This window comes from Homo sapiens, chromosome 11 (genome assembly GCF_000001405.40).
Source record: "Homo sapiens chromosome 11, GRCh38.p14 Primary Assembly".
NCBI lineage: Eukaryota > Metazoa > Chordata > Mammalia > Primates > Hominidae > Homo > Homo sapiens.
In genome coordinates, this window is record NC_000011.10 from 97,270,364 (window position 1) to 97,293,709 (window position 23,346).

At 36.3% G+C, this 23,346-nt stretch overlaps 1 long non-coding RNA gene across 2 annotated transcripts; it reads right to left on the reverse strand.

The window, feature by feature from the left end:
* Positions 1 to 589: 589 nt before the first annotated feature.
* On the reverse strand, positions 590 to 20,232 carry LOC105369450 (uncharacterized). 2 transcript variants are annotated; one of them, XR_007062859.1, is made up of 4 exons: positions 20,179 to 20,232; positions 2,978 to 3,162; positions 1,049 to 1,093; positions 590 to 668 (listed from the first exon to the last, which is right to left on the reverse strand). It is a non-coding gene; the product is annotated as an uncharacterized LOC105369450 (long non-coding RNA). The 2 variants fall into 2 exon arrangements; XR_947939.2 differs by lacking the exon at positions 20,179 to 20,232 and adding an exon at positions 3,476 to 3,559.
* Positions 20,233 to 23,346: the final 3,114 nt, after the last annotated feature.

The following is a 23,346-nucleotide window of genomic DNA, read 5'->3' on the forward strand; positions in this document are numbered from 1 at the left end:
AGCACTTTAGGTCAGACCTGTATTGATTCTTTAAGTGGCTAGGTTCTAAAAGATGATACCTTCTTTAGTTTCTGCTTCAACTAACAGAAGTCAGGTTTAATTACTTGGAACCACAGAGTCCTGACTGACTGATATGAGTATCAAATAGTCACAAATTATCTAGACTGCAAATATCATTTCCTTGTGATTTACAGATAAGAGAAGCCTGAACTCTAACTTCTAATGAATATACTTAAAAAGCTTGTTTATATTTGACCATTTTTTGTTTCTTAATGAATGTTTATGCTTCAAAAATCTATCCTCATTTTCATCTATCACAATGGCCAATACCATGGTTCCAGAGCCTTGCAAAGCATGTCTATGGTCTTGTAGATTCATTTGTCTAATCTACTGCTGCTGATACATTAACATTTCCCCCAACTATGGATAAGTCCTATTCCTTGATTCGTCAAATATATCCAACACCAATATATAATAAGCCAAATTCTTCTAAAGCCTTGGAGAAACAGAAATAAATTTTCATGAAGCAAGAAAAAGAAAATCCCTGAGAACTCTGTTAATGTATCTTATAATTCATAAGCTGCAAAATAAGTAAAACAAATAAAAATATATGGACTATACCTTGAGCATTCCTAGAATTCAGAGAAATACTGCTACCTTCAAATTACCTATAAAGTAGAGAAATAAATACACCTAATTACAACAAAGTGGCCACAATCATTTCAAGCCAATGTGTCTAGAGAGTATAATAAGGGATATAAGAGTCTAATAAAAAGAGGAGGGGGACATGGAACAACAAGATAAAACCCTTAATGCTTGAAATAAAAATCTAATAGTATAAACCTAATGAGCACACTTTTTATAATTAGTAGGAAATGGTTCAAAATTGAGGGGGAATAGAAGTATTGTTTTTAAGGAGGCGTGAGTTCTGTATTTGTAAACAGAGTAAGCATGATTAAACTTGGAGACATAGCATTGTAGGGAGATAAGATAAAATAAAAATCAGAATTCTAAAGAGGTAAAAGGACAAACTAAAAAGAAAACATACCTAATTCTATCTCCACCCAATATCTTTCATTAAAGAAAATGGTTCCTTTAAGCAAGGGAAGAAGGCACATGTAAGTTAGAAATTCTTTTCACAAATGCTTAAATATAGGAGATACAAATTAAATTAATATTTTACAAAGCTATTGTAAAAATAAAATTTAAAAAATATGAATAGAAATATTACAGCTGATAACTTTTCTTTAAAAATCAACTATTAAAGTAACATTTCAAATGGAATTGTATCATGTAATAGAAGCCATTTTAGGTATGAAAAGAAATCTTGAATTAGAAATTCACAAATTAAAATTGTATAGGTAAAAAATATGAAGAAATGTTATAGTTGTTAAACTCAGGAAGAAAATGTTTTCAACAGAGCAAAATCATATGAGAAATGAAGAGTAAAGTCCAAGATGTCCAAGCAAGTATACATTTGCATGAACATTTAATAAGGAATATAGAAAAGAAGGAAAGTAAACATAAGAATGAAAATAATTCGGCCGGGCGTGGTGGCTCATGTCTGTAATCCCAGCACTTTGGGAGGATTACCTTGAGGTCAGGAGTTCGAGACCAGCCTGGCCAACATAGTGAAACCCCATCTCTACTAAAAATACAAAAATTAGGTGGGTGTGGTGGCACATGCCTGTACCCAGCTACTCAGGAGGCTGAGGCAGGGGAATTGCTTTGAGCCCAGGAGTCAAAGGTTGCAGTGAGCCGAGATCGCACCACTGCACTCCAGCCTGGCCAACAGAGTGAGACTCTGTCTCAAAAAAAAAAAAATAATAATAATAATAATAATTCAAGAAAGGATTAAAGGGAGTAAGTTGAAATAGCAGTCATATAAAGGAGATCCAACATATAAATATTGGAGTCCCTGAATAGAAGAACAAACTAAACAACAATGGGGGAAAAAAAAACTGCCCAAAGTGTAATCCAAGGAAGCTTCCTAGAAATAGAAGAAGACAGAAGCTAAGCATTGATAGGGCTCGTGGGTACCTCATAATATTGACAAGAGCAATCAATTCTGAGATATACTCTATTAAAACCTAAAATTGGAAGATGGAAAAAAATCCTTAGGGCTTCCAGACAAAAAGATTAAATAACGAATAAGGGAAAAATAATTATTTTTCTCAAATGCACAAAGTAAGGCAATGGTGAAGCAATGTTTTTAAGAAGTTTAAAGGAACAAAATAGGAGCCAGGGATTTTAGATCAAGCCAAGCTCTCTTTCAAGTATTAAGAACATAGAAAATCAGTTTGCAATATTCAAGAACACCAGAGTTCACTGTGTTCAAGTGCTGTTTCTGAGAATTCTACTGAAGGATGGGTGCCATCTAACCATAAATGCCTAGGGAAACTTTGAAAACATAGGCTACTGGATCATTTATTATTTTCAATCATAGAACCAACATACAACCAAGAGTGGTAACATTAAAAAATATTATGTAAACATATGATTTGACAAGTAGAAAACATTGCTACTAAAATTATCAGAAGAGCAAGAGAAAGGGGAAAGATTCAAATTATTCACTACTGGGCAGGTAATGTGTGAGAGTCAAAGAATACCATTTAACAATGATGGATAAAATAATGAAAGATTGATTGAAAAGTGGGAATAAATAACCATGAATACCAATATATGAACTCATGTAAATTGAAAAGAAGTTAAACATATATCAAATAAAACACACAATTAAAAACTTCAACTTTTTCTTAGGAATTTGTCCTTAAACTGTTTTGTGTTATAGATTGAAAAAATGAGTAAATGGATTGACAATTTTGGGAGCTGCAGTTTTATAAACTACATGATATATTATGAAGCTCATTACAGTTTGAGAATATCTTTTGAACATAATATAGTTGAAAACACATTTTAAAAAATTTTTTTTTAGACAAGTCATCAAGATGACTGACTAGAAGTACATGGCACTTACCTTCTCCACGAAGAAGAAACAAAACAGCCAGTAGATAATCAAAAATAGAATAGAGTTTCTAAGGAAGAACACAGGAATTCAGCAGGGAAGTGACAGGAACTCTCTGAGCCATAAAAACTTGAGATGGCAGCATAGAGAGGGACGTGAAGCAGCCAGTGAGGACAGGCTCAGAGCCAGAGAGGACTCTATGGTTATAGGAGAAATGGTAGGTGAGACATTGTCAATAGTCCACCTTTCCACCACATATGTCTGCAATCCTAGTAACAGGGGAGCTCCTAAGTCCTTAGAGGCCCTGAGGTTAGTGTAGGAAACTACCTGGAGTCCATACAACTACATTATTTCAAAGAGGATATTTACATTGGGTCTCGTCCACACACTGGGACCCAGGATGCTGCAGCACAGTGGCATTTGGAGAGCAGAGGCAACACCATATTACATCCTTCCCTGGAGCCCAATTAACCCTGTATTTTCACATTCTTAGGGCCCAACTGACATTACCTCATGTTGACTCAGTTGACTGCAGCATTATGACACCAGCTGGACCCAGTGGTGCCATCATGTCTCTGGTACCCGAGTCCATACAGTATCCTATATCCCAGGGAAGAGATAATTGAGCATATCCAGGAGGCTGCACCCAGGAAATAGGGAGCCAAAGCATGTGCTCCGTGGATTCTGAGAGCTGCTTGACTAGGGACACAGACATCAATACAATCTCACCCCTCCAGAGCGCAGGCTGCTGTGCATCCATGTGTACCACCTGGAGACTGAAAACCTGGCCTCCTACTGCCACCAGAGTTACCTGTGCATAATGTCCAGGGTCTAAGGACTGGCCTGTCTGGACTGCCACCACTACTGCCTGTGACCACACAACCTGCCACAGGAGCCTGAGGCTATATCCAGCCGCCAACATCACTCTGTCTGTATGAGCCATCAGGGGAACTGAGTACTAGTTTACCCATGGCCCACTACCACCACAACTGGTACCCAAGTATGCCACCCTGGAGCCTAGGGAGAAATCCACCCAGTGCCCTAGTCTCCAGCAAAGCCTTACTACAGCCTCCACACACAACCACAGCCTAAGCCAGTGAGGAACTTACAGATACCACTGATATTTATTAAAGCTGAAGAAATCCTATGGAGACTACACTAAGGTACCCACCCAACACCAAAGCTAATGTGTTTTATTCAGTTGACACTATAGATACATCTGCAAGAAGAAAGTACTCCCAGACAGAAGCTACTCCATAATATGGGAAGAAGTGAGTTTTATACCAGATGTGTAGATATCAATGTACTAACACAAGAAACATGAAAAAGTAGGGGAACATGAAAGTAGGGAAACGTGACATCTCCAAAGAAATACTGTAACTCCCTAGTAAAAGACTGTGAAGAAAAGAATATCTATGTAATGTTTGAAAAGGAATTCAAAAATAATGATCTTCAGGAAATAAAACAGAACACACATACATAATACAAAAATATCAGAAAAACAATTTATGATCAAACGAATGTGACATTAAATAAGGTGCATAACATAAAAACAAACCAGACAGAAACCTTAGAACTGAAGAATTCAATGGATGAAATAAAAATACAATAGAAAGTAAAGTAAAAATAGAGTATGAAAAAAGTGTATGTAACATGGAACATCATCAAATAAACAAATATTTGAGTTTTGAGAGTTTCAGAAGAGATAAGGAAAAACCATGAAAAAACAATTTAATAATATAATAGCTTAAAAAATTCTCAAATCTTGGAAGAGAGATACATATACAGGAAGCTGAAAGTTTCCCAAATACATTCATCCAAAGAGTTTCTCTTCAGGCACCTTATACTCAAATTTTCAAAAGACAACAACAAAGAGAATTCGAAGAACAGCAAGAGGAAAGTGCCAAGTCATTCATAAGGAAATCCTATCAAACTATTAACAGCAGATTTCTCAGGAAAACCCTTACAGGCAAGGAAAAAATAGAATAATATATGCAAAGAGTATAAAAATGATTACTGTCAGCTAGGAATAATACACACAGTAAAGGTATCCTTCTGAAATGAAGGAGAAATAGTCTTTCCCAGGCAAAGAAAAAAATGGAGAGAATTCACCACCCTACACGAAATGCTTAAAGGAATGATTGATCTGAAAATGAAAGAATAGTATCTACCATCATGAGGGCACACAAAATTATAAAACTCACTGTGAAAGCACATACACAAATAAAAAAGAAAGGAATCAAGTTATCACTATAGAAAACTACCAAATCACAAAGATAAACAGTAAGAGACCAAGATAAGAAAAAATAACATACAAGATAATCAGAAGCCAATTAACAAAATGACTGAAGTATGTCCTCACTTATCAATAACAACCTTGAGTGTCAAAGTTTTAAATCCTCCAATTAAGATACAGACAAGCTAAATAGATGTTTTCAAAAGACCCCACTGTATTCTGCCTAAAAAACACTCTAATCACCTGTAAAGATTCACATAACTGAAAGTGAAGGTTTGAAAAAAGATATTCCATATAAATCACTAGCATTCATATACACCAACAACAGTCAATACAAGGACCAAAGCAACAATAAACTGTCATTCAGAATTGCCACAAAAAGAATAAAATACCTACAGATACAACTAACTATAGAAATGAAAGATCTCTACCAAGAGAACTACAAACCACTGCTCAAAGAAATCAGAGATGACACAAATGGAAAAACATGTCATGCTCATGGACAAGAAGAATCAATATTGTTAAAATGTCCATACTGCCCAATGCGATTTGTACATTTAATGCTATTTATTACTATTCAACTACCATTGACATTCTTCACAGAACTAGAAAAATTACTTCAAAATTCATATGAAACCAATAAAGAACCTAAATAGCCAAGGCAGTCCTAAGCAAAAAGAACAAAGCTGGAGGCATCACATTACCTGAATTCAAACTATACTACAGGGATCGAGTAAGCAAAACAGTAGGTCCTGGTGCAAAAACAGACACATAGATCAATGGGACAAAATAGAGAACCCAGAAATATGACCGTACACCTACAACTCTCTGATCTTCAACAAACCTGACAAAAGCAATGGAGAAAGGATTCCCTATTCAATCAATGGTGCTGAAAAACTGCTAGCCATATGCAGAAGAATGAAACTGGATTCGTTCCTTACACTATGTGCAAAAATTAATTCAAGATGGATTAAAGACTTAAATGTAAAACCCAAAACTATAAAAATCCTAACAACATAGGCAATACCATTTAGGGCACAGGCAAAGATTTTACAAAGAAGATGCAAAAAGCAATTGCAACAAAAGCAAAAATTGACAAATGGGATATAATGAAACTACAGACCTTCTGCACAGCAAAAGAAGCTGTCCTCACAGTAATAGGAGAAAATTTTACAAACTGTGCATTTGACAGAGGTCTAATATCCAGCATCTATAAGAAACAAATTTACAATAAAAAAACACACACAACCCCATAAAAAAGTGGGCAAAGGACACGAACAGACACATTTAAAAAGAAGACATACATGTAGCCAACAAGTACATAAACAAAAGCTCAACATTACTGATGAGAGAAATGCAAATCAAAACCACAATGAGATACCATCTCAAACCAGTCAGAATGGCCATTATTAAAAAGTCAAAAAATAACAGATGCTGGCAAGGTTGTGGAGAGAAAGCATACACTGCTGGTGGGAGTGGAAATTAGCCCACCCATTGTGGAAGACAGTGTGGCAATTCCTCAAAGACCTAAAGACAGAAATACCATTTGGCCCAGCAATCCCATTACGGGGTACGTACTCAAAGAATTATAAATCATTCTATTATAAAGACATATGCACACATATGTTAATTGCAGTACTATTTACAATAGCAAAGACATGCAATTAACCTAAATGTCCATCAATGATAGACTGGATAAAGAAAATGTGGTACATATACACTATGGAATACTGTGCAGCCACGAAAAAGAACAATATGCCCTTTGCAGGAACATGGACCGAGCCAGAGGCCATTATCCTTAGCAAACTAACACAGGAACAGAAAACCAAATACAGAATGTTCTTATAAGTGGAAGCTAAATGATAACATATGGGCACATAGAGGGGAAAAACATACTGGGGCCTTTTGGGGAATGGAGGGTGAGAGGAGGGAGAGGATCAGGAAAAACAGTGGGTACTAGGCTTAATACCTGGGTGATGAAATCTGTACAATAAACCCCTATGACATAAGTTTATCTATGTAACAAACCTGTACTTGTACCCTGAAATTAAAACAAAAGTTGTTATACAAACAAAAGCCCCAAATAAATAAAATCATAAAAAGGAGATAATACAACTGATACCACAGAAATACAAAGGATCATTAGAGATAACTATGAACAGGTATATGCCAACAAATAGAAAACCTATAGGAAATGAATGAATTCATAGGCATATATTAGGAAGAAATGAAAAAGCTCACCACACTAATAATAAATAACAAGTTTGAGTCAGTAATAAAAAGCCTCCCAATAAACCCCGGGACAGGACTGCTTTACTGCTGAATTCTGCCAATCTTTCAAAAAAGAGCAAACACCAATTCTACTCAAACTGTTCCAGAAATATAGAAAAGAATTATTCCTAATATATTCTATGAGGCCAGCATTACACTGTTTGAAAACCAAACAAGGATACAGTGAAAAAGAAAGCTATACGCCAATATGTCTAATTAGCATAGATGCAGAAATCATCAATAAAATAGTAGGAAACTGAATCCAAGAGCACATCAAAAAGATAATATACGATTATTTATCCCAGTATGCATGTATGACTTACCCCAGCAATGCAAAGATGTGATTCATCACATCAATCAAATGATGGACAAAAAACATATGCTCATCTTAATAGGTGTAGACAGAGCATTTGATAAAGTGCAACTGTTCTCCATGATAAAAACTTGCAACAAGTTAGGAATAGAAGAAATATACCTCAACAGAATAAAGGCCATATATGACAATCCCACACCTAACACAATAGTGAATGCAGAAAAGGTTATCTCTAAGAACTGGAACAAAATGAGGATGCTGACTTTCACGCTCTTCTTCAATATAGTACTGGAGAAATTAGGCAAGAAGAAGAAATAAAGCCATCCAAATTGGAAAAGTGGAAGCAAAATTGTCCTCCATTGTAGGCAATATGTTATGTAGAGAAATTCCTAAAAACTCAATCAAAATACTCTTAGAACTAATAAATGTAGTAGTTAGAGAAAAAAATTCCATAGTATTTCTAGACACAAATAATGAACAAGATGAAAATGAAGTTAATCACATTTACAAAGACTACAAAAAATCTAGGAATTAATTGAGTAAGTAAAAGATTTCTACACTGAAAACCACAAACCACTGAGAAAAATTGAAAAGGATACAAATGGAGGGGCTTTCTGTGTTCGTGAATTGAAAGAATCAATATTGTTAAAATGACCATATTGCACACAGCAATCTACAGGTTTGATACTATCCCTTTTAAAACACCAATGACACTTTTCACAAAAATAGGAAAAAAGAATAAAGATTTGTATGGAACCACAAAAGATCCCAAATAGCCAAAGCAATTCTGAACAAGAAGCACAAAGCTGGAGGCATCACACTGCCTGAATTCAACATACACTACAAGGGGTGGAACAAGATGGTGGAATAGAAGCCTACACTGTTCATCCCCCACACTAGAACGCCAAATTTTAACAACTGTCTTCACACAGAAAAACACTGTCACAAGAACCCAAAATTAGGTGAGCATATTATGTCCATATTGTTGAAAGGGACATTGAGAAGGGTTTGAGAGAGTCTTGAATCTCTGACACCTCCCCTCCCCCATGTCCCTCAGCAGCAGCCCTGCTGTTTGGAGTAATAATGTTTGCACTTTGAGGAGGGACAGTGCAGGGATTGGAGGGCTTCACACAGAATTTGTGCTGCTTTGTCACAGCAGAGAATAAAGCTGAGCTGGGCTCAGCTAGCATCTGCACATGGAAAGAGCATTTGGACCAGCCCTAGCCAGACAGTCACCCATCACAGCAGTTGAAACTTTCTTGGCAAGCCTCATCACTGCAGACTGAAGTGCCCCAAGGTCCTAGGTAAACTTGAATTGTAGTCTAGAACACAAGGTTTGCAATTCCTAGGCAACTCCCAGTGCTAGGTTGGGCTTAGAGCCAGTGGACTAGGGTGGCACATGACCTAGTGAGATACCAGCTGGCATGGCAAAGGGAGGACATGTACCCTCCCTCCCACAGCCCCAGGCAGTACAGCTCCTAGCAACAAAAGCACCTTCTTCCTTATGCTTAGGAGAGGACAGCAATGAGTAACGAGGACTTCGTCTTGCATCTCGAATATTAGCTCTGCCACAGAAGGATAAGGCACCGGGCAGAGTCATGAAGCCCCCATTCCAAGCCCTAGCTCCTGGATGGCATTCCTAGATACATCCTATGCCAAAAAGGATCCTGCTGTCTTGAAGGTAAGGACACAATCCTGGCAGGACTCATCACCTGCTAACTAAGGAGCCCTTGGGCTCTGGATAACTACCAGTGATACCCAGGGAGTACACTATGGGCCTTGGGCTCTGAGATCTGCTGGCTTCAGGGGAGACTCAGCACATTCTCAGCTGTGGTGGCTATAGTGAAAGACTCCTCCTGTTTGAGAAAGGCAGAGGGAAAAGCAAAAGGGACATCTTCTTGCACCCTAGGTATCAGCTCGGCCACAGTGGAGTGGAGCAAAAAGCAGGCTTTCTGGGTCCTTGACTCCAGGTGTAGGCTCTTAGACAGCATTTCTTGACCTTCCCTGGGCCATGGGCGAGCCCACTTTCCTGTAGGGTGAGTTTCAGATCTGACAGCCTTCACCAAAAACTGATGGAAGAACCCTTGGACTTGAAGCAAACATTGTCAGTAGCCTCGCAGAAGTCCCCATAGACCAGTGGTGGTGGTGGCCAGAGGGAAGGCTTTTCTGCTTCTGTAAAGGGAAGGAAAGATGGGGAAGAACTTTGCATTGAGGTTTAAGTGCCAGCTTAGTCACAGTAGAATAGAACTTCAGGAAAATTGCTAAGATTTTTGACTCTAATCCTTGTTCTCCAGACAACATCTCTGGATATGCCTGGGGCCTGGGGTAAATGACCACCCTGAAGGCAAGGGCTTTCGGCAGGGCCTAGTGCTACCCAGTTTTCAGTTCTGACCTAGCACTGTCTCAGTGGTGGTGGCCACAGGGGTGCTTGCATCACCAGCCTTCTAGTTTCAGGTGTCTCAGTACAGAGAAAGAGAGAGAGAGAGAGAGAGTCTGTACGTTTGGGAGAAAATAAGGGATAAGGACAGGAGACTCTGACTGGTAATCCAGAAAAGTCTTCTATATCTTATCCAAGATGACCAAAGTGTTACCTCTATGAGTCTTCAAAATCCACAATGTTATTGGGCTTGGGGCTAAGTCCCTTCAAAAACCTAGAAAAACCTTCTCAAGAAAGCCAGGCACAAACAAGCCCAGGCTGTGAAGACTACAATGAATACCTAACTCTTCAATGCCTAAATATCTAAGAACATCTACAAGTATCAGCACCATCCAGGAAAACGTGACCTCACCCAATGAACTAAATAAGGCACCAGGGACTATCCTGGAGAAACAGAAATATGTGACCTTTCAGATAGAGAATACAAAATAGCTGTCTGGAAGAAACTGAAAGAAATTCATTGTAACACAGAGTGGGAATTCAGAATTTAATCAGATAAAAAGAGATTGAAATAATTAAAAAGAATCAAAGGGAAAATATAGAGTTGAAAAATGCAATTGACATGCCAAAGAATGCATCAGAGTCTCTGAATAGCAGAACTGATCAAGCAGTAGAAAGAATAAGAGCTTAAAGACAGTCTATTTGAAAATACATAGAGGAGGCAAAAGAAAAACAATTTTAAAAAACCATACCTACAAGATCTAGAAAATAGCATCAAAAGGACAAATCTAAGTTGTTGGCCTTAATAAAGAGGTAGAGAAAGAGACAGGGGTTGATAGTTGATTCAAAGGGTTAAAACAGAGAACTTCCCAAAACCAGAGAAAAATATCAACCTCCAAATACAAGAAGATTATAGAACACCAAGCATATTTAACCCAAAGATGACTACCTCAAGGCATTTAATAAATTTCCAAAGTCAAGCATTAAAAAAGGATCTTAAAAGCAGCAAGAGAAAAGAAAAAAATAACCTACAATGAAGCTCCAGTATGTCTGGTAGCAGACTTTTCAGTAGAAACCTTACAGGCCAAAAGAGTGGCATGATATATTTGAAGTGCTGAAATAAGAAAAAATCTTTTAACCTAGAATTGTATAGCAAAAACATTCTTTAAGCATGAAAGTGAAGTAAAGAACTTCACAGATAAATAAAATCTGTGGGAACTCATCACCAGATCTGCCCTACATGAATTGGTAAAGGGAGATTTTAAATCTGAAATCAACAGAAGGTACAAAACTCACTGGTAATCTTTAAATGAGCAAGAAGAAATCAACTGAAGGTACAAAACTCACTGGTAATAGTAAGCACTGGAAAATATAGAATAGTACAGTGCTATAATTTTACTGCATAAGCTTCTCAATTTAATTAGAAAGACTAAATGATGAACCAATCAAAAATAACTACAACTTTGCAAGACACAGTACAAAACATAAAAAGGAACAACAAAATGTTAAAAAGTGGAGGACAAAGTTAAAATGTAGAGTTTTTATTGTTTTTCTTTTGTGTGTTTGTTAATATAATCAGTGCTAAGTTGTCATCAATTTAAAATAATGGGTTATAGGATAGTATTTGCAAGCCGCATAGTAATTTCAAACCAAAAATAACAAAACATATGATGGATATGCAAAAAATAAAAAGCAAGAAATGCAAGCATACTACCAGAGAGTGTCATCTTCACTAAAAGGAAGACAGAAAGGAAGGGGAAAAGATAAGAGAAGAACACACAACAACCAGAAAACAAATAACAAACTGGCAGGAGTAAGTTCCTACTTATTAATAATAACATTGAATGTAGGTGTACTAAACTCTCCAATCTGAAGACACAGAGTGGCTGAATGTATGAAAAAACAAGGCCCAGTGATCTTTTGCCTACAAGGTACAAGGAGCATGCTTCACCTATAAAGGTACATAGACTGAAAATAAAAGGATGGAAAAAAATATTCCATGACAATGGAAACCAAAAACAGCAGGAGTAGTTATATCAGAGAAAATAGATTTTGAGACCAACACTATAAGAAGAGACAGAGAAGGCCATTATATAATGATAAAAAGGTCAGTTCAGCAAAAGGGTATAATAGCTATAAATATATATCCACACAACCATGGAATACCAAGATATATAAAGCAAATATTATTAAAGGTAAAAAGAGAGATAGCTCCCAATACAATAATAGCTGGAGATTTCAGTACCCTACTTTAAGCATTGGACAGGTATTCCAGGCAGAAGATCACGAAATATTGGAAATAATCTGCACTATAGAATCAATGGACCTAATAGATATTTACAGAACATTTCATAAAATGGCTGCAGAATATACATTTTGTTCATTCTCAAAGATAGACCGTATGTTATATTGTAAAACAAGTCATAAAACATTCAAAAAATTGAAATAATATCAAGCATCTTCTCTGATTACAATGGAATAAAGCTACAAATCAATAACAAAGAATTCTGGAAACTATACAAACACATGGAAATTAAACAACATGACCCAGTGGATTAATGAGAAAATTGAAAAATTTCTTGGAAAAAAATGATAATGGAAACACAACATATTAAAACCTATGGAATACAATGAAAGCAGTCCTAAGAAGAAAATTTATAGCTATAAATGCCTACGTCAAAAAAGAATAAAAACTTCAATAACCTAATGATGCATCTTAAAGAACTGGAAAAGTAATACCAAACTGAACAGAAGTTAGTAGAAAAAAGAAATAAGAAAGATCAGAGCAGAAACAAATGAAATGAAAACAACACAGAAAGATCAATAAAGCAAAAGTTGTTTTCTGAAAAGATAAACAAAATTACAAACTTGTATCCAGACTAACAAGAAAAAAAAGACCCAAAGAAATAAAACCAGAGGTAAAAAATGAAACATTAAAACTGATGCTGCAGAGATTCAAAGGATCATTAGTGGCTACCATAAGTAAGTATATGCTAATAAATAGGATAATCTAGAAGAAATGGGTCATTCCTGCACACTTACAACCTACTAAGATTGAACCAGGAAAATATCCAAAACCTGTTCAGACCAAGAACAAGTAAGGAGATCAAAGTCATAATAAAAAGTCTCCCAGCAAAGGAAAGCCCAGGACCCAATAACTTCACTTCAGAATTCTACCAAACATTTAAAGAAGGCCTAATATCAATCCCATTCAAACTGCCCCCAAAAATAGTGGAAGTGGGAGTACTTACAAACTCATCCTATCTGGCCAGTATTATCTTGATACCAAAACCAGAGACACATCAAAAAAAAAAAAAGAAAGAAAGAAAAAGAAAAAAAACTAGAGGCCAATATCTCTGATGAATATTGATGCAAAAATACTCAACAAAACAGCAAACCAAATTCAACAATATGTTAGAAAGATTATTCATCACGACCAAGTGGGATTTACCCCAGGGATGCAAGGGCCATTCAACATGCAAATCAATCAATGTAAAACATATCAACAGAATAAAGGGCAAGAACCATATGATCATTTCAGCAGATGCTGAAAAATCATTTGATAAATTTCAACATCCCTTCAGGATAAAAACCCTCAGAAACTGGATGTAGAAGGAACATACCTCAAAATAATAAAAGCCATATATATGACAGACCAACAGTTAGTATTGTACTGAATGGGGAACATCTGAAAGTCATTTCTCTCGGAACTGCAGCATGACAAAGATGCCCACTTTCACCATTATTATTCAATGTAGTACCGGAGGTCTTAGCTAGAGCAACTAGACAAGAGAAAGAAATAGAGAGCATCCAAATTGGAAAGAGAGAAGTCAAATTATGCCTATTCACTGGTATGATTTTATATTTGGAAAAACCTGAATACTCAACCAAAAAAACTATTAGAACTGATAAACAAATTAAATAAATGTGCCAGATACAAAATCTACATACAAAAGTCAGCATTTCTATATACCAGTAACAAAATCAAAAAGGTAATCCCATTTACAGCAGCTACAAATAAAATTAAATACCTAAGAATTAACCAAAGAAGTGAAAGATCTCTATAATAAAAACTATAAAACACTGATGAAATAAAGAGGACACCAAAAATTGATAGATTCCATATTCATAGACTAGAATAATCAATATTGTTTAAATGTCCATACTACCCAAAGCAATATAGAGTTAATGTAATCTCTATCAAATTACCAATAACATTCTTCACATAAATAGAAAAGTGAATTCCAAAATTTATATGAAACAACAAAAGACCCAGAGTAGATCAAGCTATCCTAAGGAAAAAAAATGGAGGAATCAATTTACATGACTTCCAATTGTTCTACAGAGTTATAGTAACCCAAACAGCATGGTACTGGCATAAAAATAGACGGATAGACCAATAGAAGAGAATAGAGAACCCAGAAACAAATCCACACACCTATAGTGAACTCATTTTTGACAAAGGTGCCAAGAACATACCTTGAGGAAAAGACAGTCTCTTAAATGTGCTGGGGAAACTGGATTTTTATATGCAGAAGAATGAACTTGATCCCTATCTCTTGCCTTATACAAAAATGAAATCAAAATGGATTAAAGACTTAAATCTAAGACTTCAAAGATATCTGCACTCCTATGTTTACAAGAGCCAAGATTGAAAGCAACTTATGGGAAGCAGAATTGTCTTATTCTCAGTATGATTCATTTTGTCTATAGTAATGAAAGTAAGAAAAACTCTAGAAGACTATACAAATCAAATGAAAGAGAGATGGAGGCTGTGGGAATGGTAGTTCTGCCCACCTGGGCACATGCCTTTAGTGTTAAAGTTTTAGAGTTCTAATAACTGTTTGAATTAGAGAGTTGACTCATTGGCTATTGGTAAGGATATATCAGTATTGATCAGTACTTAACCCAAGATAATTTTATTCACAATTAACTTGCTTCTTAAGTTAGCTGATCTGTGAAGGATGCTGCACCACACAGAAATTTTATTTGCACAAGTATTAAAAAATTTAGGCCTTTCTGTGAAGTGTATTTAGTGCAAAGCTTTAGGTTTATTGACTACCTATGACATCTTTTACATAAAGAGCCAAGAGTAAAGCTTTATGAAGTTTATAACCCTAATGATATTTTAATTGTTTTGAATGATAGTTCATGCTATTGTTTCTAGTACATGTTCTTTTTAACACTGCTTATTTAGTAATTGTTATTATATTTTACAGTTATTGAGCACTCAAATGTGATCACTTTACAGAATAGAACACTTCAGATGATCCTTCCTTATTTAATTAAAAATAAACCCTTTAAGAGTAGGTCACCAGCACTCTATTTTTACATCCAGAGTCTTTTAATTATGTAAGAATTTTAGTAACTTTAATCTTTCTGTGATTACTTTTAGTAAAAACATAGAGATCCAAAATTAAGAAAATAAATATGGTTTGAAAATGCAGATAGCATTAAGAAATCGATTTTTTTAAAAAAAGGTTGTATAGTGTAGAATAATAGGTTACATATTTGTAGTCAAATGGTCAGTGTTGGAATATTGACTTTTTCTGAGATTGGCCAAACTTACTCTCTAAGTGCCATACTTTTCACATAATGCTTCTGATTTGTTAAGAGAAACACATGAAGTTCTGTGAAAGAAATTTTGAAAGTGCTAAATAATTATAAAATGTTATTAAGATTACCATATTACCCAGATCTAAAATGTCTTTGTCATAAGGTGTGAATATAGTTAAGGGTTCTAGAGTTTTTAAAAACATAGATAAAACAACAAGTTGAGTAGGGAGACAGAGTAAAAGGAAATTGAACCAAACAATGCCAATAAAACAGAAAATACATAAAAAGTCTTCTTGTTAAAAAAAACCACACTCAATGTGTTCTAGAATGCTGAATATATCATAAATTTCAAATTTCATTGTAGTGACCAAATTGATAGTTTTCAAAATTAAATATATCACATTTAACATCCTGTAGAATGCTATTCAGGTGTATCTTTCAATTTGGGCCACTTTTCTCCAGACCTTCTGGCCATTTATTCAGCACTTCACCGTGCCTTGCTTCAACTGTTATTGTTAAAGTCACCTTTTTGATCATTATCAATATTTCTCCCCAAGTTACTATTTTTAAATAAAAATATAAGACTAGCCCTTTTCTTTTTTTCTTCTTTTTTCTTAGTAAACCCTTTCTTTATTGATGATATCAAAGCACAATGAACAAAAATTCTGAATCATTAATATTTTTAAGTAACACTGGATGATCATGTATCTAGGTTAGTTTTTATAATTAAATGAAGCTTAAGAGTTTTGCTGAAACACTGAAGATGATACCGACCTTTACAAATATTTGGCCCCTTTCTTGAAGTTGGTAGTTAAAAATGATAAGAAAATGTATAGAAATTATTTATTAGCCATTTTGGAACCATGAAAAAAAGTTAAACTGCACTCAAAAAATTATCCTTTGGATTTCAGGCCCTCCAGGAAAACAAGGTAAGCGAGGCCGAAGAGGAGAATCTGGTAACTCTCTCTTTCAGCTACTCTATGTCACTCGTTCTGGTTAAGTTCTGGTGTCTGTTCTTCCTAGTTAATGATAATATTGTCTTGTTGGAGGTTGTGTGTGTGTTTAAATCTTCTCTGCTAGACCTACTTTTTTTTTTAAATCTTCTCCTTATTTCTATCCAGCTGTAAAAAGGAGAAGTTTGCAAAGTATTGTTAATTGCAGTTTAGTAACAATTGGTACCCATTTTTGGCTTATTTACTGGGTCAAGTTAAGTCTGTCCTTTCTATATACAATGGAGGGTTTCTCAGCTGCACACAGTGTGATAGCATCGCCCTCATTTCCATCTATGTAGGTGGTCAGTAAACGTAGGTCCTTTGCAAAAACACCTGCCTTGGGACACTAGGGCACGTGTCTTAGCTGTATTATTATTTTATCCAATTGGCACAATTTTGTCATGCTTTTACTCTCATTCTTTTCAAAATTTGGGAATGTTTTTTCCTTTTTGTACAACCATGGAATTTTAGTGATGACAGGAGCACTAGTAATCAATCCACAATTTTCATTTTGTAGGTGAGGAAATTGAGTCCCACAACAGTCAGGTGATTTGGCCAAGGCAGAACTTGAAACAGAACCAATTGTCCTGATTCCTACTTCAGTACATTTTTGCTTTCAGGCCATATCCTTATACGTAAAACAAATCACCAGTGTGAAACAGAAAAGTCAAGTAAAATTTCTTTTGAAACTGAGGTGATCTGTATAAACGAGTTCACTTAACTGTTTTACTTTTTTTGGAAATGACACATGAAGTCTTATCAGACCATTAATTCTTCCGTGCAAGATAAAAGTAATTTGAGGTTTGACTCTAGCATGCTGTAAATTGTTATTTTTCAGTATCTTCTATAAGTATTTATCAATATTAAAAATAATCAATTACTAAGTGCTGAAACAGTAGAAGCATTAACCTATCAAGAGCTGACGGCAGATTGATGTGGGGTTTTTTTCCATCTCATTTCCTCTTCCATTTTAAGAAAGATGTTAATGTAAAAAGGGTTTATGAAAAATTATTAATTTGAGTAGTGTAGTTGCTTTTTTTAATTTTACTTTAAGTTCTGGGAACATGTGCAGAATGTGCAGGTTTGTTTCATAGGTATACACGTGCCAAGGTGGTTTGCTGCACCTATCAACCTATCATCTAGGTGTTAAGCCCCGTGTAAATTAGATGTTTGTCCTAATGTTCTCCCTCCCCTTGCTACCCAGCCCCTGACAGGCCCCTGTGTGTGATGATCCCCTCCCTGTGTCCATGTGTTCTCACTGTTCAACTCAAAAGTGGATTAAAGACTTAAACATAAGACCTAAAACCATAAAAACCCCAGAAGAAAACCTAGGCAACACCATTCAGGACATAGGCATGGGCAAAGACTTTATGACTAAAACACCAAAAGCAATTGCAACAAAAGCCAAAATTGGCAAATGGGATCTAACTAAACTAAAGAGCACAGCAAAAGAAACTATCATCAGAGTGAACAGGCAACCTACAGAATGGGAGAAAATTTTGCAATCTACCCATCTGACAAAGGTCTAATATCCAGAATCTACAAGGAACTTAAATTTACAAGAAAAAAAAACCCCATCATAAAGTGGGCAAAGGATATGAACAGATATTTCTCAAAAGAAGACGTTTGTGCAGCCAACAGACATATGAAAAAAGCTCATCATCACTGGTCATTAGAGAAATGCAAATCAAAACCACAATGAGATACCATCTCATGCCAGTTACAATAGCAATTATTAAGTCAGGAAACAACAGATGCTGGCAAGGCTGTGGAGAAATAGGAACACTTTTACACTGTTGGTGGGAGTGTAAATTAGTTCAATCATTGTTGAATACAGTGTGGCGATTCCTCAAGGATCTAGAACCAGAAATACCATTTGACCCAGTAATCCTATTACTGGGTATATACCCAAAGGATTATAAATCATTCTACTATAAAGACACATGCACACGTATGTTTCTTGCAGCACATTTTACGATAGCAAAGACTTGGATCCAACCCACATATCCATCAACGATAGACTGGATAAAGAAAATGTGGCACATAAAATACCATGGAATACTATGCAGCCATAAAAAAGGATGAGTTCATGTCCTTTGTAGGGGCATGGATGAAGCTGGATGACATAATTCTCAGCAAACTAACACAGGAACAGAAAACCAAATACTGCATGTTCTCACTCATAAGCGGGAGTTGAACAAGACTAGCCCTTTTCTTATTTAAAAAGCTCTCTACAATTACAAGTTGCCTATGTTTAAAAAATTTTAAAATATTTATAGCACACAAAATCCATGCATAAACTCTCTGTCATCAGTGTCTTCTATGCATCTAAGTTTCTGCTTAACTTTTACATAGCAACATCAGTGTCATTGTTTTTAATTTGCAACTTTCAGCCATTTTATATGCTATTATGATTACCTAAAATGTCTTCACTTCTCTTTTTCTCCTGGCAAACTCTTTCTCAGTCTTTAAGACCCAGCTCAAATGGCCCATCCACAGAGAGGCCCCCTCCAACTTCACAACACTTGTTCTGTTTATGTTATTAAATGTGATAGCACTTCCTCAGTTGTGGTGTATCTTTTTTGAGGGTTTTATTTCTCACATTTTATTTTATTTCTCAAATTGTGAGCCTCTTTGTTTAGAGGTAGTGCTTGGCTTGTAATTTATGTTTAATATTTAAATCCTTGTTAATGGGTGGACAAATGGATGGATGTGTGGATAGAAGAAGAGGAAGATGAAAGCTTAGGACCCCAAAATTAGTCTAATTCTCAGTTCAGGTTTCTGATTCCTTCATCTCCTGTATACCTCCTACCAATATATTCTTTGTCCTTCTGTTCTTCACTGATTAAGGCAACTATCCCTTGTGTAGCTACGATGCAGTAGGGATAGCTCAATTCATTTATTTTCCATTTTCCTTCAGACAGTACCTAAGTCTAGGAGCTCTTATAGCAAATGTGTGAGAGTAAACCACATCGTGTTAGTCATGGACTATTTAAACAGAGATATTATTAGTTGATATTGGAATTAGCTTTTTTTCTCATTTATAACTGATTTAAAAAATCAAGTTCTTATTCACAATGTATGTATACTCACTCTCTATTGTCAGCTTAGAAAAAAAATTATCTAGAGTGATTGAAACTTACCTGAATCATTGCTAAGCTTCCTATATTACAGCATGGGCATGCCTACAAACTATACCCCTTTAATCATACTTGCTACCTACAAATCTCTCCTAAAAAGCACATAATACTTTTAAATTAATAAGAAATGAATTATATTTGTAAAATTTTTAATGCTCATTCTGGTTTACTTCAGTTCCTGGACTTAGGGTCAATTCTTAATTCTGTATATATTTCAGCCTCCTGCAAACAGGACAAATCTAGCAATAGAAAAAAGTTTTCTGCCTGCAAGCCAAACAGTCAAAATGTTAACAAGGATCCCTGATTCCATAAATAAGAGTTTCCTTACCAGCGGTAAAATTTCTAGAAACTCCTGCTGTGTAAGCTAGAAGGCTTCAAGCTGAGCTCTTTTTTTAGCAGCAAGTTGCCCTTAGATAAATTACACTGATGACTAAGTAAAACCAAGGTAATGTGAGACCAGAGTATAGCTAACATTCTTCACGTCATGCACCATTATCAGACTCAACGAAGCAAACCTTTAGAGATCAAAGAATAAACCTTGTCCTCACTGCTTTTTGCTGTGCTGAAAATTTTAACTGCTGGTTAGTCTATTTTTAACTTATTTAAATGGAGCCAACTGCTTACTGGCTCAGAGGGTGCTTAGCTAAGAAACTACTGCCTGGCTTATATTGTCCTATCATCTAAGAACTTGATGCCCTAGATTTCCCAAGGCAGACCCTGTTTTAGGACTTGCAGGTTTAAGATCTGATTTGTACTCCCTGGCTCCAGTGAAAAATAACCTGAAACCAACCTAGTTGGAGAGATAATTCATATTAGGTGATACTAGATTGAAAGATTTAAATAACAATTGGAATTTAGACCTTGTTGGGAACAAGCTCCCCAAAATCTGGCCATAAACTGGCCCCAAAACTGGCCATAAAAAAAAATCTCTGCAGCACTGTGACATGTTCATGATGGCCATAATGTCCATGCTGGAAGATTATGGGTTTACAGGAATGAGGGCAAGGAAGACCTGGCCCACCCAGGGCGGAAAACCGCTTAAAGACATTCTTAAGCCACAAACAATAGCATGAGCAAGCTGTGCCTTAAGGACATGCTCCTGCTGCAGTTAACTAGCCCAACCTATTCCTTTAATTCGGCCCATCCCTTCATTTCCCATAAGGGATACTTTTAATTTAATATCTATAGAAACAATGCTAATGACTGGCTTGCTGTTAATAAATACGTGGGTAAATCTCTGTTTGGGGCTCTCACCTCTGAAGGCTGTGAGACCCCTGATTTCCTACTACACACTTCTATATTTCTGTGTGTGTGTCTTTAATTCCTCTAGCGCCACTGGGTTAGGGTCTCCCCGACTGAGCTGGTCTCGGTAAGGCCTAATATGATAGACCATAAACAGCTATAGTAGATTCTTGACTTGAGAGAAACAATAAACAAATTTTTAACAATAGTAAAAAAAAATAGATGATATTGTATATTATCAATTAATTATGGAGTTATGTTGGAATTAAGATCTTATGTGGCCAAAAGACTGGTTTTCTGCTTTGGCTATTTATGCATCCTTAGAGGGCCTCAACCCTGTGTGTTGGGAAAACTCTCTGTGCTAACCAAGAACTGCTCTTGATAAGCTCAGGACAAAGAATGAGGCAGACCATTCAAGGTTGGTAAGTAGTCAAATATTTATTCAGAGGGAATTTATAAGGCAGTCTTGGGTGTCAGTAAGACAGGGCACATCTCTGTGTGTAATGGATACCTGTCTAGACTTTTTCCCTTTCCTCTTTCTTTTCATGGTATAAAAGAGAAAAAAAGTTGCAAATGTGTTAAGCCATCTGTTTGCATTCTTAATCTATGTACTCTCTACTTAAAGATATTATTTGGATTTCCTATAATCTGTCCAACATTCCTAAGGTGGGGGAATGTTATGGGCAGCAGCAATTGATGCTTGTATGTTTCTTCCAGTCGCTGCATCCTACCTCCACTTCGTGGTCACATATGCAGAAAACATCTTCACAACACTCTATTCCTCATGATCACCCTCCAGTTTTAAATACCTCCTCCCCATGAGAGTCCTTGGGTATCACTATGGGTTCTATAGTGAGGGTGATAGCCTTATTGGCAACTTGATGCCACATTACAGGATGATTTCACAGCAACAATAGAGACACATAAGGAAAAAACGCAAAGCAATGAAGTAAGCAAATAATGATTAGCAACTGTTTTATCAATTTACTAAGATTTTAAAATCAATATGACAACTATTGATGGGGCGGCATCACTTACAGTATTTATCTATGATGCCATGTGTTGCACTAGAGTGGTGACGTTTTATTTGTAACATATAGATAGCATTCTGTTATGATAATGGCACAGATGCTGCCTTGTGCCATAGTCTTTACATGAAAGCGGTTTCTGTGTTGAATGCTAGAATGTCCTGTCTGCTGTCCTTTAGAGCTCGTCTAGTGAGATTAGTTGATGTCTTTATACGAGCTATTATATTTCTTATGCTTATTTGAGGACTAAAGAGGGCAGCTATATGACCATACCAGTAGAAGGCAGATCACCCTCCCATCCAGCTCTGAGCTATGGGTGATTGGCAGCAGCAGTCAGTTTATTCCATAACTGTTCCATTGCCCAGCAGAACCAGAGGGTACAACATCCCATCCATCTGGGGGCAGCCAGGCCTACAGGTTGGAACCACACAGCAACCATGTTTCATTAGGGGCCACCCAGTGTTTGTCTGATCATTTTACCCTGTCAGTGGCATACCAATCAGGGTTTAGCAGGGTAACCATGATATTATGGGTGGAAGGAGGCACTACTCTGTGTATGGAGTGGTCTTTGGAATTATGTTTTTGCTGTGATTTTCTTTCCGGCAGAGAGGGACAACTTGACTCAACTTTTCATAGCCTGGGGTTATTTACATACATTTATTTCAGACCTGTGTACATTTTTTGTTAATACTTACTACTGATTTTTGGGCTATTTGAGACTTTAAAAAATTTTTATTTTTGTGGCATTACATGAGAGTGGGAAGGGGTGTCCCTTGTTTGATAAAGTATCGTTAATGGGCCATTGGATGGGGTCTTACCTAGTAATATCTGCAGTATTTCAAGTACTCACATTTTTTCCCCCAAAACGTATGACTGTAATGCAACCCAGAAAGTTTCTGTAAAGAGTTTAGCCTCCATGTCTGAACAGAGATTCCTAACAGCAGCACCTGTCCATAAGCCTAATAAGCTGATGTATTTATCATTTGGGCATAGGACACAGCCCAATATAAGAACACATTTTTTTAGACTATGTCCTGTAATGTTTACATTTCATATTAGCAACAGGAAGCTAGAGGCAGTGAAACAAAATTCTAATACACATTTGTGAAGGCAGATCATCTCCTTCAACAAGGATTATACTGGTGGATTGTATTTGAGTGGTCAAAACAGTAGCTGCTGGGGTGGCTTCCCAGGAGAAACATACCATATGTGCTGTCCAGGGAAAG